The sequence below is a fragment of the Homo sapiens genome, chromosome 8, assembly GCF_000001405.40.
Source record: "Homo sapiens chromosome 8, GRCh38.p14 Primary Assembly".
Taxonomy (NCBI): domain Eukaryota; kingdom Metazoa; phylum Chordata; class Mammalia; order Primates; family Hominidae; genus Homo; species Homo sapiens.
Genome location: NC_000008.11, coordinates 123,982,300 through 123,997,841, shown reverse-complemented (window position 1 = coordinate 123,997,841; position 15,542 = coordinate 123,982,300). Strand labels below are relative to the sequence as shown.

The 15,542-nt window shown below is 38.5% G+C and overlaps 1 protein-coding gene and 1 long non-coding RNA gene across 8 annotated transcripts in view; one reads left to right on the top strand and one right to left on the bottom strand.

Moving 5' to 3' along the window:
- Window positions 1–13,704, top strand: part of FER1L6-AS1 (FER1L6 antisense RNA 1) — a 56,645-nt gene extending 42,941 nt beyond the window's left edge. Inside the window, exon 6 of the long non-coding RNA NR_040044.1 lies at window positions 12,069–13,704. This is a non-coding gene — a long non-coding RNA (FER1L6 antisense RNA 1). The remainder of the gene's footprint in view (window positions 1–12,068) is intronic.
- FER1L6 (fer-1 like family member 6) overlaps window positions 1–15,542 on the bottom strand; it is a 268,075-nt gene that overhangs the window by 122,220 nt on the left and 130,313 nt on the right. For all 7 annotated transcript variants that reach the window (XR_928347.3, NM_001039112.2, XM_011517231.3 and 4 more), the window contains one exon: window positions 11,666–11,774. Coding sequence is in view for 6 of the 7 variants with exons in the window: in NM_001039112.2 (NP_001034201.2) it covers window positions 11,666–11,774 (109 nt within the window). In the remaining variant the exon portion in view is untranslated. The remainder of the gene's footprint in view (window positions 1–11,665; window positions 11,775–15,542) is intronic.

Sequence of the window (15,542 nt, the reverse complement as noted above, 5' to 3'; positions counted from 1 at the left end):
TTCTGGAGCTAAAAAATGCAACCAACATACTGAAGAATACATCAGAGTCTCTTAACAGCAGAATTAAGTGGAAAGAATTAGTGAGCTTGAAGACAACCTATTTGAAAATACACAGAGGAAGCAAAAGAAAAAAAGAATAGAAAAGAATAAAACATGCCTATAAGATCTAGAAAATCACCTCTAAAGGGCAAATCTGAGAATTATTGGCCTCAAAGAGGAGGTAGAAAGACAGAGATCAGGGTAGAAAGTTTATTCAAAGGGATAATAATAACAGAGAGCTTCCCAACCCTAGAGAAAGATTTCAATATTCAAGTACAAGGTTATAGAACACCAAGCAGATTTAATCCAAAGAAGACTACCTCAAGACATTTAATAATCAAAGTCCCAAAACTCAAGGATAAAGAACCTAAAAGCAGCAAGAGAAAAGAAATAACATACAAAGAAGCTCCAATACATCTGTCAGGAGACTTCTCAGTGGAAACCTTACAGGCCAGGAGAGAGTGACATGTCATATTCAAAGTGCTAAACAATAACAACAAAAACCCTTTTATCCTAGAATAGTATATTTAGCAAAAATATTCTTTAAACATGAAGGAGAAATGAAGACTTTCACAGACAAATAAATGCTGAGAGATTTCATTGACACTAGACCTATCCTAAAAGACATGCTAAAGGAAGTTTTTCAATTTGAAAGAAAAAGATGTTAATGAGCAACAAGAAATCATCTGAAGGTACAAAACTCACTGGTAATAGTAAGTACACAAAGAAACATAGAACATTATAACACTGTAATTGTGGTGTCTAAATTACTTGTATCTTTAGTAGAAAACTAAAAGACGAACCTATCAAAAACAAATAACTACAACAACTTTAAGACATGGACAGTATACAACAAATACTTAAAAGTGAGTGGATGAAATTAAAGTGTAGAGTTTTTATTCATTTTCTCTTTGCTTTTTTTGCTTCTTTATACAATCAGCGTTATCATAAATTTAAAATATGGGTTACAAGATCGTATTTCAAGCCTTATGATAACCTCAAATCAAAAAACATACAACAGATGCACAAAAAATTAAAAGCAAGAAATTAAAACATGCCAGAGAAAATTGCCTTCAATAAAAGAAAGACAGGAAGGAAGAAAAGGAAGACCATGAAACAACCAGAAAACAAATAACAAAATAGCAGAAGTAAGTCCTTATGTATCAATAATAAAATTGAATGTAAGTGGATAAACTCTCTAATCAAAAAATATACAGTGGCAGAATAAATAAAAACACAAGGTCCAATGATCTGCTGCCTACAAGAAACACACTTCACTTATAAATACACATAGAGACTGAGAAAAATGAAAAAGGATATTCCATGTAAATGGAAACAAACAAAAAACAGGAGTAGATATAATTATATCACATAAAGTAGATTTCAACATAAAAATTATGAAAAGAGACCAAGGAGTCATTTCAGCAGGAGGATATAACAATTGAAAATACAAAGGCACCCAATGCTGAAGCACCCAGATTTATAAAGGAATTATTATTAGAGCTAAAGAGAAAGATAGACCGCAACACAATAATAGCTGGAGACTTCAATACCCTACTTTCAGCACTGGAAAAATCATCCAGACAGAAAATCAACAGAAAAACATTGGACTTAATCTGCACCATGGAACAAATGGACATAATAGATATTTATAGGACATTTCTTCTAATGGCTATAGAATACACATTCTTCTCAGCACATGGATCATTCTCAAGGACAGACCATATGTTAGGCCACAAAACAAGTCTTTAAAAATTCAAAACAATTAAAATTATATCAAGTATATTCTCTGATTACAATAGAATAAGACTAGAAATCAGTAACGCGAGAAATTTTGGAAATTATATGAGCACATATAAACAATATATTCCTGAATGCCAGTGGGTCAATAAAGAAATTAAGAAGGAAATTTAAAAATTTCTTGAAACAAATAATGGAAACACAACATACCAAAACCCATAAGATACAGCAAAAGCAGTACTAAGAGGAATGTTTATAGCAATAAGCACCTACATCAAAAAACTAGAAAAACATCAAATAAACAACCTAACGATGCATCTTAAAGAGTTGAAAAAGCAAGAGCAAACAAATTCAAAATTAGTATAAGGAAAGAAATACAGAGCAGAGCAGAACTAAATGAAATCTAAACAACAACATAAAAACAATACAAAAGATCAACAAAATGAAAAATTGGTTTTTTGAAAAGATAAAATTGACAATCCTGTAGCCAGACTAAAAAAAAAGAGAAGACCCAAATAAATAAAATCAGAGATAAAAAGGAGACATTACAACACATATTGCAAAAATTCAAAGAATCATTAGAGACTGCTATGAACAACTATGTGCCAATACATTGGAAAACCTAGAAGAAATGGATAAATTCTTAGACATAAACAACCTACCAAGATTGAATCATAAAGAAATGCAAAACCTGAACTGGCCAGTAATAAGTAATGTGATCAAAATCATAATAAAAAGTCTCCTCACAAAGAAAAGTCCAGGACCCCATGGCTTCAGTGCTGAAATTCACCAAACATTTAAAGAAAAACACAAGTTTTTTCAAGATGGTGGACTGAAGGCATGGTTACCATGACTCTCCCACTTGGAAAGACAAAATAGTGTGTAGAGATTCATGCTGTGAGCTTTTCTTCAAGAAACAATGCAGGAACTTAACAGGAAAACTTTCTGAAAGAAACTACAGACCCTCTGAAAGAAGCAGTGGGCTGCAGCCTAAACTGTGAGCCAGGCAGAATATTTTAAGTCCCCAGACTGTGAGAAGGAGATAAATTGCCTCTGGGATATACACTCCCACCAGAGAATCTCACAATCCAGGCCATGGAGGAAGACCTTAACCCTAACAAGTGCTAACTTATTTAGGGAGCAAAGAGAAACATAAAAGTAGAAGCAACCACAAGTTATGCATACATTCCCAATCTCCAGTACAGATAGAGGGAAGCCATTCCTGATCCTACCTCACAGGGGACCTTGTAGAAGCCTGCCAGCTAACTCAGGTGATGGTTGCAGGTTTACAGAAGCCCCCAGCTGAGAGGTACAAAATAATCTCAAGTGGGGACAAACTCCCTTGGCCAGAACTGGGGGACAAGTGGGAAACGTGTTGCAGCCACAAGTGCTAGAGCTGGGAGCCTGGGTTTTGCGGGTGAACTGGGAGGTGTGTGGCCTGCAAGCTGCAGTTGCTGTCTCCACCAGGGAAGGCTTATGACCTGGGGCAGTTGTAAGTTCTGAGCAGAGACTGCCTGGAACTTAGCTAGCTGCTGCTGGTGGAATACCGTGGGTGAAAGATATGTCTCGCCAATGTGTAGGAGCTGGGTGGGGCTTACTGCTGCATGCTACCCCCCACTCCTTCTCTGGACTCTTCCGTACAGAAAAGGCAGCTGTGCTCTTTCTTGAAGCATTGCCCCAGTGGTCAGAGAACTGTTTCCCTAACTCCCCATTTGAGCTGCTGCTTGCCCTGCATGTGAAGAGCCAGAGCATGGACTTGACAGGCCCAGACCCAGACCCCACCTGTCTTTGAGCCTCCACCCACACTGATAACATAACACAAAGGACAAAATTTGGAAGCTCTGTGGTTCCACTCATTGCCTGAGATGCCAGAGTACCTCCTCTGGGCAGCATAAGGCAAGCACAAATCCCACCACCACCACTGCAGCTGATACCTTTTTGCAAGCACCACCTCCTGGCTGGAGGCCAACCGACACAGTCTATTACAGCACCTTCAGGTAGAATAACAGCATCCAGGAAGGAGAAAACTTGTGCATGGCCTTAACTAACAGCATTGCTGAGCACCCTGGATAAACAGGAGGTCCTAAGTCTGCCTACATGATCAGCTCATTACTACTACAACCGGCATTTGAGAAAGCCAACACACTAAGGCTATTTATAATCAGAGAATCTCACAGAGTCTACATCACTCCCCTGACCACCCTCATTAGAACTGGTACTGGTAGCCACTGCTGGGAGACTTGAGGACAGACCACATCACTGGATCATTTGTTGGCATTTTCACAAACAAGCCTGGATTGTGGCAGCCCCTCTGGGTGGCTAGACCCAGAAGAACAGCAACATTCACTGTAGTTTGGCTCTCAGGGACTCCTACTCTGAGGGAAAGGGGCAGTGCATCATATTAAGGGAGCACCCTGTGGGACAAAAAAATCCACATAGCAGGCCTTGAGTCCCAGAACTTTCTGCTGGTGGGAAGTTTCTTTTAACAGAGGCTCAGCTGCAGTGCTGGGCTCAGCAGGAAAGTCTGTAACTCTACCCCAAAACAGTCAGGCAGCCCTGGTGCTCATCAAATAAACATTTGGTCTTGGATATACATTCTTCCTTTTTTTTTTTTTTTTTTTGAGACGGAGTCTCGCTCTGTCGCCCAGGCTGGAGTGCAGTGGCGGGATCTCGGCTCACTGCAAGCTCCGCCTCCCGGGTTCACGCCATTCTCCTGCCTCAGCCTCCCAAGTAGCTGGGACTACAGGCGCCCGCCACTACGCCCGGCTAATTTTTTGTATTTTTAGTAGAGACGGGGTTTCACCGTTTTAGCCGGGATGGTCTCGATCTCCTGACCTCGTGATCCGCCCGCCTCGGCCTCCCAAAGTGCTGGGATTACAGGCGTGAGCCACCGCGCCCGGCCGGATATACATTCTTCTTATCAGCACAGGGAACATTCTCCAAGATAGACGATATGATAGGACACAAAACAAATCTCAAACTTTTAAAAATTGAAATCATATCAAGTATCTTCTCAGACCACAGAATAAAACTAGATATCAATTCCAAAAGGAATCCTCAAAACTAAAAATACATGGAAATTAGTCTGCTCCTGAATGATTTTTGGTTTAACAATGAAATCAAGATGGAAATTTAAAAATTCTTTGAAATAAATGATAATAGTGACACAACTTATCAAAACTTCTCAGATACAGCAGAAGCAGTGCTAAGAGGAAGGACTAAATGCCTACATCAAAAAGTCTGATAGATCACAAATTGACAACCCAATGTCGCACCTCAAGGAAGTAGAAAAATAGGAAAAAAACAAAACTCAAAGAGTTAGCAGAAGAAAAGAAATAACAAAGATAAAAGCAAAACTAAATGAAATTGAAACCAAAAATATACAAGATCAATGAAACAAAAAATTGTTTCTTTAAATAGATAAGCAAAATCAATAGACCATTATCTATATTAACCAAGAAAAGAAGAAGATGGAAGATGCAAATAATCTCAATTAGAAATTAAAATGGAGACATTACCACTGATACAACAAAAATACAAAAGATCATTCAAGACTACTATGAATACTTCTATGCACACAAACTAGAAAATCTAGAGGAAATGGATAAATTCCTGGAAATATACAACATTCCTAGATTAAGAAAGGAAGAAATAGAAACCCTGAAGAGACCAATAACAAGCAGTGAGATTGAGTCAGCAATGTAAAAAAAATTGCCAACAACAAAAAAATCCTAGGGCCAGATGGATTCACAGCTGAATTCTACCAGACATTCATAAAAGAGTTAGTACCAATTCTACTGAAACTATTCCAAAAGATTGAGAAAGAGGGAATTATTTCTAACTCATTCTATGAAGCCAATATCACCCTGATTCCAAAACCAGGAAAGGACATAACAAAAAGAGAAAACTACAGAACAATATCCCTGATAAACACAGATGCAAAAATCTTCAACAAAATACTAGCAAACCAAATCCAACAGCACATCAAAAAGAAAATACACCATGATCAAGTGCATTACATTCCAGGGATGCGGGAATGGTTTAATGTATGAAAGTCAATATAAGTGATACATCAAATAAACAGAATTAAAAACCATATGATCATCTCAAAAGATGCAGCAAAAGCATTCAATAAAATACAGCATCATTTTATGATTTAAAAAAAAACCCTCAAAAAAGTAGGCATGGAAGGGACATATCTCAAAATAATAAAAGCCCTACATGAAAAACCCTCAGCCCTCAGCCAACATTATATTGAATGGGGAAAAGTTGAAAGCATTTCCCCTAAGAACTGGAACAAGATAAGGAAGCCCACTTTCACCACTTCTATGCAACTTAATACTGGAAGTCCTAACCAGAGCAATCAGGCAAGAGAAAGAAATAAAGGACATTCAAATTGGAAAAGAAGAAGTCAAACTATTGCAGTTTGCTAATGATATGATGATATACCTAGAAAACCCTAAAGACTCCTCGACTTGATAAACAAATTCATCAAAATCTCAGGTTACAAATCAATGTACACACATCAGTAGCACTGCTATATACCAACAACTTCCAAGTTGAGAATCAAATCAAGAACACAATCCCTTTTACAATAGCTGCAAAAAAGAAAAAAAAAACTAGGAATATACTTAACCAAGGAGGTGAAATATCTCTGCAAGGAGAACTACAAAACACTGCTGAAAGAAATCATAGATGACACAAATGGAAACACATCTCATGCTCATGGATTAGAAAAATCAGTGTTGTGAAAATGACCATACTTCTCAAAGCAATCTACAAATTCAATGCAGTTCCTATCAAAATACCAACATCATTTTTCACAGAATTAGAAACAATCCTAAAATTCATGTAAAACCAAAAAAAGAGCACAAATAGCCAAAGCAATCCTAAGCAAAAAGAACAAATCTGGAAGCATCACATTACCTGACTTCAAGTTATACTGCAAGGATATAGTTACTAAAACAGCATGGTATTGGTATAAAAGCAGATACATAGACCAATAGAACAGAACAGAGAACCCAGAAATAAAGCCAATACTTACCACCAACTGAATTTTGACAAAGCATACAAAACATTAATTTGGAGAAAGAACACCCTATTTAATAAATGGTGCTAGGAAAACTGGATAGCCACACGTAGAAGAATAAAACTGGATCTGTATCGTATACAAAAATCAACTCAAGATGGATCAAGGACTTAAATCTAAGACCAGAAACCACAAAATTCCTAGAAGAAAACATAGAACAATCTATTCACGACACAGTCCTAAGAAAAGAATTTATAACTAAGACCCCAAAAGCAAACACAACAAAAACCAACATAAATAAGTGGGACCTAATTAAACTAAAAAGCTTCCACACAGCAAAAGAAATAATCAGAGTAAACAGACAACCCATAGAATGGGAGAAAACCTTTGCAAACTATGCATCCAACAAAGGACTAATATCCAGAATACCAGGAACTCAAACAAATCAGCAAGAAAACAGATCTCATCAAAAAGTTGGCAAATGACATAAATAGACATTTCTCAAAAGAAGATAATACAAATGGCCAATAAACATATGAAAAAAATGCTCAACATCACTAATGATTAGGGAAATGCAAATTAAAACCACAGTGAGATACCATCCTACCCCAGCCAGAAGGGCCATTATTAAAAAGTCAAAAAACAATAGATGTTGGCGTGAATGTGGTGAAAAGGGAATGCTTACAGACTGCTGGTGGGAATGTAAATCAGTACAATCTCTATGGAAAACCATATGATGATTTCTTTTTATTTTATTTTGTTTTTTTGAGGCAGAGTCTCCTCTGCCACCCAGGCTGGAGTGCAGTGGTGCTATCTCGGCTTACTGCAAGATCCGCCTCCTGGGTTCACACCATTCTCCTGCCTCAGCCTCCCAAGTAGCTGGGACTACAGTCACCCACCACCACACCCAGCTAATTTTTTGTATTTTTAGTAGAGACGGGGTTTCACCATGTTAGCCAGGATGATCTCGATCTCCTGACCTCGTGATCCGCCCACCTCGGCCTCACAAAGTGCTGGGATTACAGGCATGAGCCACCGCGCCCAGCCAGTGATTTCTTAAAGAACTAAAAGTAGATCTACCATTCAATCCAGCAATCCTACTACTGGTTATCTACCCAAAGGAAAAAAGGTCATTATATCATAAAGACTCCTGCATGTTTATGTTTGTTGCAGCACAATTCACAATTGCAAAGATATGGAACTAACCTTAATGCCCATTGACTAATGAGTAGATAAAGAAAATGTGGTATATACACACCATGGAATACTACTTAGCCATAAAAAAGAATAAAATAATGTCTTTTGCAGCAAACTTGGATGGAGCTGGAGGTCATTATTCTAAGTGAAGTAACTCAGGAATGGAAAACCAAATACCATATGTTCTCACTTATAAGCAGGAGCTAAGCTATGGGTATGAAAAGTCATACAGAGTGGTATAATGGACTTTGGAGACTCAGAAGGAAGAGGTATGAGAGGACAAAGGATAAAAAACTATATACTGGGTACAATGTACACTGCTTGGGTGACAGGTGCAGTAAAATCCTAGACTTCATCATGGACTTCACCAAGGATGAATACAATTCATCCACGTTACCGAAAACTATTTGTATTACAAAAGCTACTGATATTTTAAAAATATTTTTAAAAAAGAATTCCAATACAAAAAAATGGAAGAGGAGGGAATACTTCCAAACTCATTCTACAAGGCCAGTATTACCCTGAAACCAAAACCATACAAAGACACAAAAAAGAAAATTACAGGCCAATATCCCTGATCAACACTGATGCAAAAATCCTCAACAAAATCCTAGCAAACCAAATTCAACAACACATTAAAAATATCATTCATCATGACCAAGTGGGATTTGTACCAAGGATGCAAAGATAGTTCAATGTACGCAAATCAATATGATACATCACGTCAACAGAATGGACAAAAACCATATGATCATTCCAATTTATGTTGAAAAAGCATTTGATAAAATTTAACATCCGTTCATGATTAAAAAAACTCTCAAAACACTAAGTACAGAAGGAACATACCTCAATACAATAAAAGCGATATATGACAGACCCACAGCTAGTTTCACACCAAATGGAAAAAAAACTGAAAGCCTTTCCTTTAAGATCTGGAAGAAGAAAAAGATGCCCACTTTCATCCCTATTACTGAACATAATACTGGGAGTCCTAGAGAGAGAAATCAGACAAGAGAAAGAAACAAAGGGCATCCAAATAGGAAATGAAGTAGTCAAATAATCCTTGTTTGCAGATGATATGATCTTATATTTGGAAAAACCTAAATATTCCACCAAAAACCTGTTAGAACTGATAAACAAATTCAGTAAAGTTGCAGGATGCAAAATCAACATTTAAAAATTAGTAGCATTTCTATATGCCAACAGTGAACAATGTGAAAAGGAAATCAAGAAAGTAATCCCATTTACAATAGCCACAAATAAAATAAAATACCTAGGAATAAACTTAATCAAAGAAGTGAAAGATCTCCACAACGAAAACTATAAAACACTGGTTAAAGAAATTGAAGAGGACACAAAAAAAGAGAGACATATTCCATGTTCATGGATTGGAAGAATCAGTATTGTTAAAACATCCACACTACCCAAAGCAATCTACAGATTCAATGCAATCTCTATCAAAATACCAATGACATTCTTCATAGAAATAGAAAAAAATTCTAAAGTTTACATGGAACCACAAGAGACGCAGAATAGCCAAAGCTATTCTAAGCAAAAAGAACAAAACTGGAGGAATCATATTACCTGATTTCAAATTATGCTACAGAGCTGTAGTAACCACAACAGTGTGGTACTGGCATAACAACAGACACATGGACAATGGAACAGAATAGAGAACCCAGAAATAAATCTATTCATCTATACTGAACTCTTTTTTTTTTTGAGACATGCTGTCTGGTTTTTTTGAGTTGCGCTCTGTCGCCCAGGCTGGAGTGCAGTGGCGCAATCTCAGCTCACTGCAACCTCCGCCTCCCGGGTTCAAGTGATTCTCCTGCCTCAGCCTCCCAAGTAGCTGGGATTACAGGCACACACCACCATGCCCGGCTAATTTTTGTATTTTTACTAGAGATGGGATTTCACCATGGTCTCGAACTCCTGACCTCGTGATCCGCCTGCCTCAGCCTCCCAAACTGCTGGGATTACAGGTGTGAGCCACCGCACCCAGCCAGTGAACTCATTTTTTACAAAAGTATCGAGAACATGTGTTGGGAAAAGGACAGTCTCTTCAATAAATGGTGCTGGGAAAACTGGATAGCCATATAAAGAAGAATGAAACTAGACCCCTATGTTCCACCATATACAAAAACCAAATCAAAATGGATTAAAGACTTAAATCTAAGTCCTCAAACTATAAGCTACTACAAGAAAACATTGGGAAAACTCTCCAGGGCATTGATCTGGGCAAAGATTTCTTGAGTAATACACCACAAGCATATGCAACCAAAACAAAAATGGACAAATGGGATCACATCGAGTTAAAAAGCTGATGTACATCAAAGGAAACAATTCATAAAGTGAGGAGACAATCCACAGAACAGGAGAAAATATCTGCATCCTATCTATCTGACAAGGGATTAATAACCAGAAGCTATAAGGAGCTCTAACAACTGTATAGGAAAAAAAAATCCAATAATCTGATTTTAAAATAGGTGAAAGATCTGAATAGCCATTTCTCAAAAAAAGACATACAAATGGCAAACAAGCATATGAAAAGGCGCTTAGCATCATTAACCATCAGAGAAACATAAATCAAACTTCAATGATATATCATTTCACCCCAGTTAAAATGGCTTGTCTCCAAATAACAGGCTAATAACAAATGCTGGTGAGGATGTGGAGAAAAGCGAACCCTCATACACTGTTGATGGGAATGCAAATTAATACAACCACTATGGAGAACAGTTTGACAGTTCCTCAGAAAACTAAAAATAGAACTACCATATGAGCCAGCAATCCCACTGTTGGGTGTATATCCAAAAGAAAGGAAGTCAGTATATCGAAGAGATGTCTGCACTCCTATGTCTGTTACAGCACTATTTACAATAGCTAGGATTTGGAAGCAACCTAAATGTCCATCAACAGATGAATAGATAAAGAAAATGTGATACAGATACACAATGGAGTACTATTCATCCATGAAAAAGAATGAGAACCTGTCATTTCCAGCAACATGGATGGAACAGGAGGTTATCATGTTAAGTGAAACGAGCCAGGCACAGAAAGACAAACTTCACATGTTCTCACTTATCTGGTGGAGAAGCTAAAAATTAAAACAATTAAACTCATTGAGATAGAGAGTGAAATGATGGTTATCAAAGGCTGGGAAGGGTAGTGGGAGGCAGGGGAGAAGTGCAGATGGTTAATGGGTACAAAAATAGAGTTCAATAGAATAAGATCTAGTATTTGATAGCACAACAGGGTGAGTACAGTCAACAACAACTTACTGTACGTTTTTAAGTAACTAAAACAGTGTAATATGGATTGTTGGTAACCAAAGAAAGGATAAATGATTGAGGTGATAGATCCCCTATATACCCTAGTGGGATTTTTACATATTGTATACCTATATCAAAATCTCATGTACCCCATAAATATATACACCTACTGTGTACCCACAAAACTTCAAATTTAAATTTAAAAGAAAATAAATCTATCCCTTATATATTGACAATAGAGTAGACAAGGAATTGTTCATCTCATTCTGAGATGCAAACCTCCACCAGAGTGCTATTATCTTCATGTAAGGCACTAACTCATTTATTCAAGAAATAGATACTAAATCCATGCTATGTGCCTGGCACTGTGCTTATCTGTACTTACCAATAGAAACTTCAAAGCTGATGGGTTTATCTCCAATCTTCCGGTCAATCATGGTAGCTTCAAAAAATGCTCCAAAGAGTAAAAATTCCTCATTTTTTTCTGGTACAATCTACAGAAAGAAAACAAAATTATTAGGCAGAACTGGCTTTTTCTCTCATTAGGAAGCTGACTTTGTGATGCTGGCCTCATCCAGCATAATTTATAAACATTTGGGTCTCTGTTTCAGCCTGAAATGGCACAGCGTTTCCCCCCAAATAAGACATGTATGAATCAGGATCTGCAAACTGCAGATCCAAATTTAGTCATTCATCTAGAATGATGCAGTCTCAACCTTCTGAGCTTCTACCTTAAAACAAAACTCCTTTTATTTTAACATATAAACTTGGTGTGCGTATCTTTCTAGGATGCTGCTGGTGAAACACGGGTTTGGAATTACCTTCTGGAGATTGGGGTTTCAGAAAACAGAAAATCAAAGACAAGAAACAGAATTACAGTATAAAATCCTTAGATTTGAGCACAACTTTATGGCTTACACAGGGTAGTCAGATACGTTATTTGTTCCTCCTTGCAACCTTAAGAGGTCAAAATTTGGATCATTCCCATTTAACAGATAAGGAAACTGAGGGAACTAAAGCTTGAGGTTGTCAAGTAACTTCGCCAAGTATACTCACCACAGACCCAGTGCTCTTTGAACTTGAACATGTATTCACCCAATGCATTAACACTGACCAGAATCAAACTTTACTTCCCCAAATAAGCAAGCCCAGATAAAAACAAATAGCAGATTAGTCACATGTACAAGCATTGGGCAATCATATGTATCCAGGGTGGGCTACATGCAATGTGGTTGCTGCTGTGAAGGGTACACAGGTCCCAGAATCACAGGTGCCTTCATATTAAAAAGGACCTTCGAGTTCATCTACTCCAACCTCCACATTTTACCTGAATAAACTAATGCTCAGAGATACTAAGCAGCTTCCCAAGGTCAAACACAGCAAATTAAAGTCAGCCAAGACTCAAGGCCTGGTTTCCAACAAGGCTGCCTTCTCAAGGAGTCCACAGTCTGGAGGACTAGACTATAACAAGTCATAAGACAGGAGTCATCACAAGGGAATACACAATTATTTGCAAATGTCTCTTATTGACAAGGAAAAGGCTGATGCTTCAGGGAACAGATGTTGCTGGACCCACTGACACAGCATTACATTTCTGAGCTAAGAGGCTGAGTCAACTGGACCCATACATTCTGTGCTTCCTGGTTTTGCAATTGGATTGATTGAACTCTGCAGAAGCAGCCATAAGGACAATCTAAGGAAATAAAGCAATTGTGGCCCCGGGGATCAAGAGCTCCATTGAGTTGAGAGTCCTAGACAGCTGCCTCAGAGAACCAAAGGGTTTCCATATCATTAGGTGAAGGATACTCCCTTCTTTCATACAGAAGCTGCTGTGGTGCCAGTCTTCCTAGGAAATGTTCCTAGTGACCAGAAAATGTCGAACAGGGTGAGGCTCAGTGCTGGATCTTAGTCACTGAGCATACCCTCCTCCTACCACTCTATCCACTGACTATTAACTAGCCTCCTATCTCACCTTCCTGAGGCTGAGTTTACTCTCTAGGAGGAGGTTAAAAACCACAGAGAGAAGTTGGGTGTGGTGGCCTGTAGTGTCAGCTACTCGGAAGGCTGTGGTGGGAAGATCGTTTGAGCCCATGAGTTTGAGACCAGCCTGGGTAACATAGCAAGACTCTGTCGCTAAAAATAAAAACCACAAAACAAGGAATTACTAAGAGACCTGGAGGGAATGTAGGCCATGTAGCCCAGAGAAGAATTTCAGGATCCAGAGTCAGACAAACAAACCCTTCCTCAAATCTCAACCCTTCCATTCCGAGGCTGATTGACTTTAAGCAAATCATGTCTATTCTCTGAGTGTCACGTTCCTCACCTGTGAAATAACCACCATCATTGGGCTTTCAGGGAGGAGAAGGGGCAGAAATGATATCATTCATGTCGAGCACCTAGTAAAAAGCCTATACATATCACCATAAATGGCAGTCAAAATAATTATTTCAGCAGGGCAGAATTGATGTCTTAATTCCACCCATCCTACAAGGTTTAACTCAAATGTCTTTCCATTCTGGAAGCACATCTTGGCTCCTCAAGCTGCTAAAATGATGATAGGTAATGTTTACTGACCTCTTACTATGTGTCAGATATGGTATTAAGAATTTTGCCCACACTATATCCTGAAATTCTCACAACTACAGCAGGAAAGAGGCATTTCTACTTTACTCACTCACAGACAATGACACTGCAGTCTGGTGAGATTAAATCTCTGCCCAAAATTATTAAGCATAACTAAGATTTATTGAGCACTATGTATGAGGCTCTGTTCTGAGCATATTTGCATATATTCATTTATCAAATCCTTAATAAGAGGTTGAGAAGCAAGAGGTTATTCTTGGAAATAAGCATAGGAATGTTAAGTCACTTACTCAGGTTCAAATGCAGGCAATGTTTCCCCAGAGGCCAAGCAGTAACCACTGCACCATACTGCCACAATTTACATCCAGCTCTCTTACTTGGGGGCTTAACATTTTAATAATTATACTTCACTCACTCCAGGAAATAACAGCACTTTATCTGTACCTCCTTAAAGCACTTACCACTTTCTACTTCCTGTTACATTTATATTTCATACCTCTCCTTCTATATCATAAACTCCATGGAGTTAGGCTCTATTTTTATTCTTACCAATATCGAGGATGACATTTAAATAAGAAGCTAGTCAGTGTGTTCACAGAATTTTAAAAATGAACCCATTTTTAGATTGGCTATGATCTGTGAAAATCTGGCACAGGGGAGATAAGCTTTGAGGGGTAATGGGGGTGAGTTGACAAAGCCAGCATCATGGGACCTCTCAACTGTCCAGATGGGCAATGAAGGTACGGCTGCAGCTGGGGAGAGGGGAGATTGGAGCTTGAGAACCAGTTGAAAAAGAAGATGCTGAAAGAAACGGCATCATCATGTTGATGAGGGTGAGCCATGAGCTGTTCAGGTGTGAGGAAGGTTGAAGCCCACTGTGGTGGCTTTAAAATATATCCACAAATTCTTTGCTAATCTTCCCCTCAAAAAATGAAACCTAATTCTCCTCCCTTTGAGGACAGGCTGGACTAAATGATTCATTTCTAACAAACAGAACATAGCAGATATGTCATTGTGTGACTTCTGTGGCCAGGTCATGAAAGACAGTTTCAGTCTTGCTCCCTCTTGGATCTGGAGAAGGCCAGCTGCCATGTCACAGGATCCTCAAGCAGTCTGTAGGAGGATCCACAGAATGAGGATGAGGCCTCCTGCCAAGAGCCAACAAAGAATCACAGTCTCCTGCCATGTGAGGAGCCATCTTCAAAGTGGGTTCTCCAGCCACAGTCAAACCTTCAGATCATGACAGCCCCTGCCCTCGCCTTGATGGAAACTTCATGAGATCCTGAGGCAGAACCACTGAGCCATGCTATTCCCAAATTACTCATCTACAGAGAAAATAAATGTTTGTTGTTTTAAGCTGCCAAGTTTTGAGATATGTTATCATGCAGCCATAGATAACTAATAAATCCAGCAAGATACTGGCCACCAACAAGAAGCCAAGATGAAGAGAGGAGGGAGGGGAAATAAGGGTTTAAATAGTGTCTGAATTTTACCTATTACCTACTACACAATAGCCAAGATACACCCTCCAACAGCCTGTAGACAAATGTACTTTCTACCCCACATAAGTTCCCAACTTCCCTTGCTTTCTGATAGAATCTGCTTCAAGTGTCTTCATCAAAATATCTTAAAGATATTTCGACTTGGATGAAGAAAATATTTTTCTAGCCTCTTTCTAC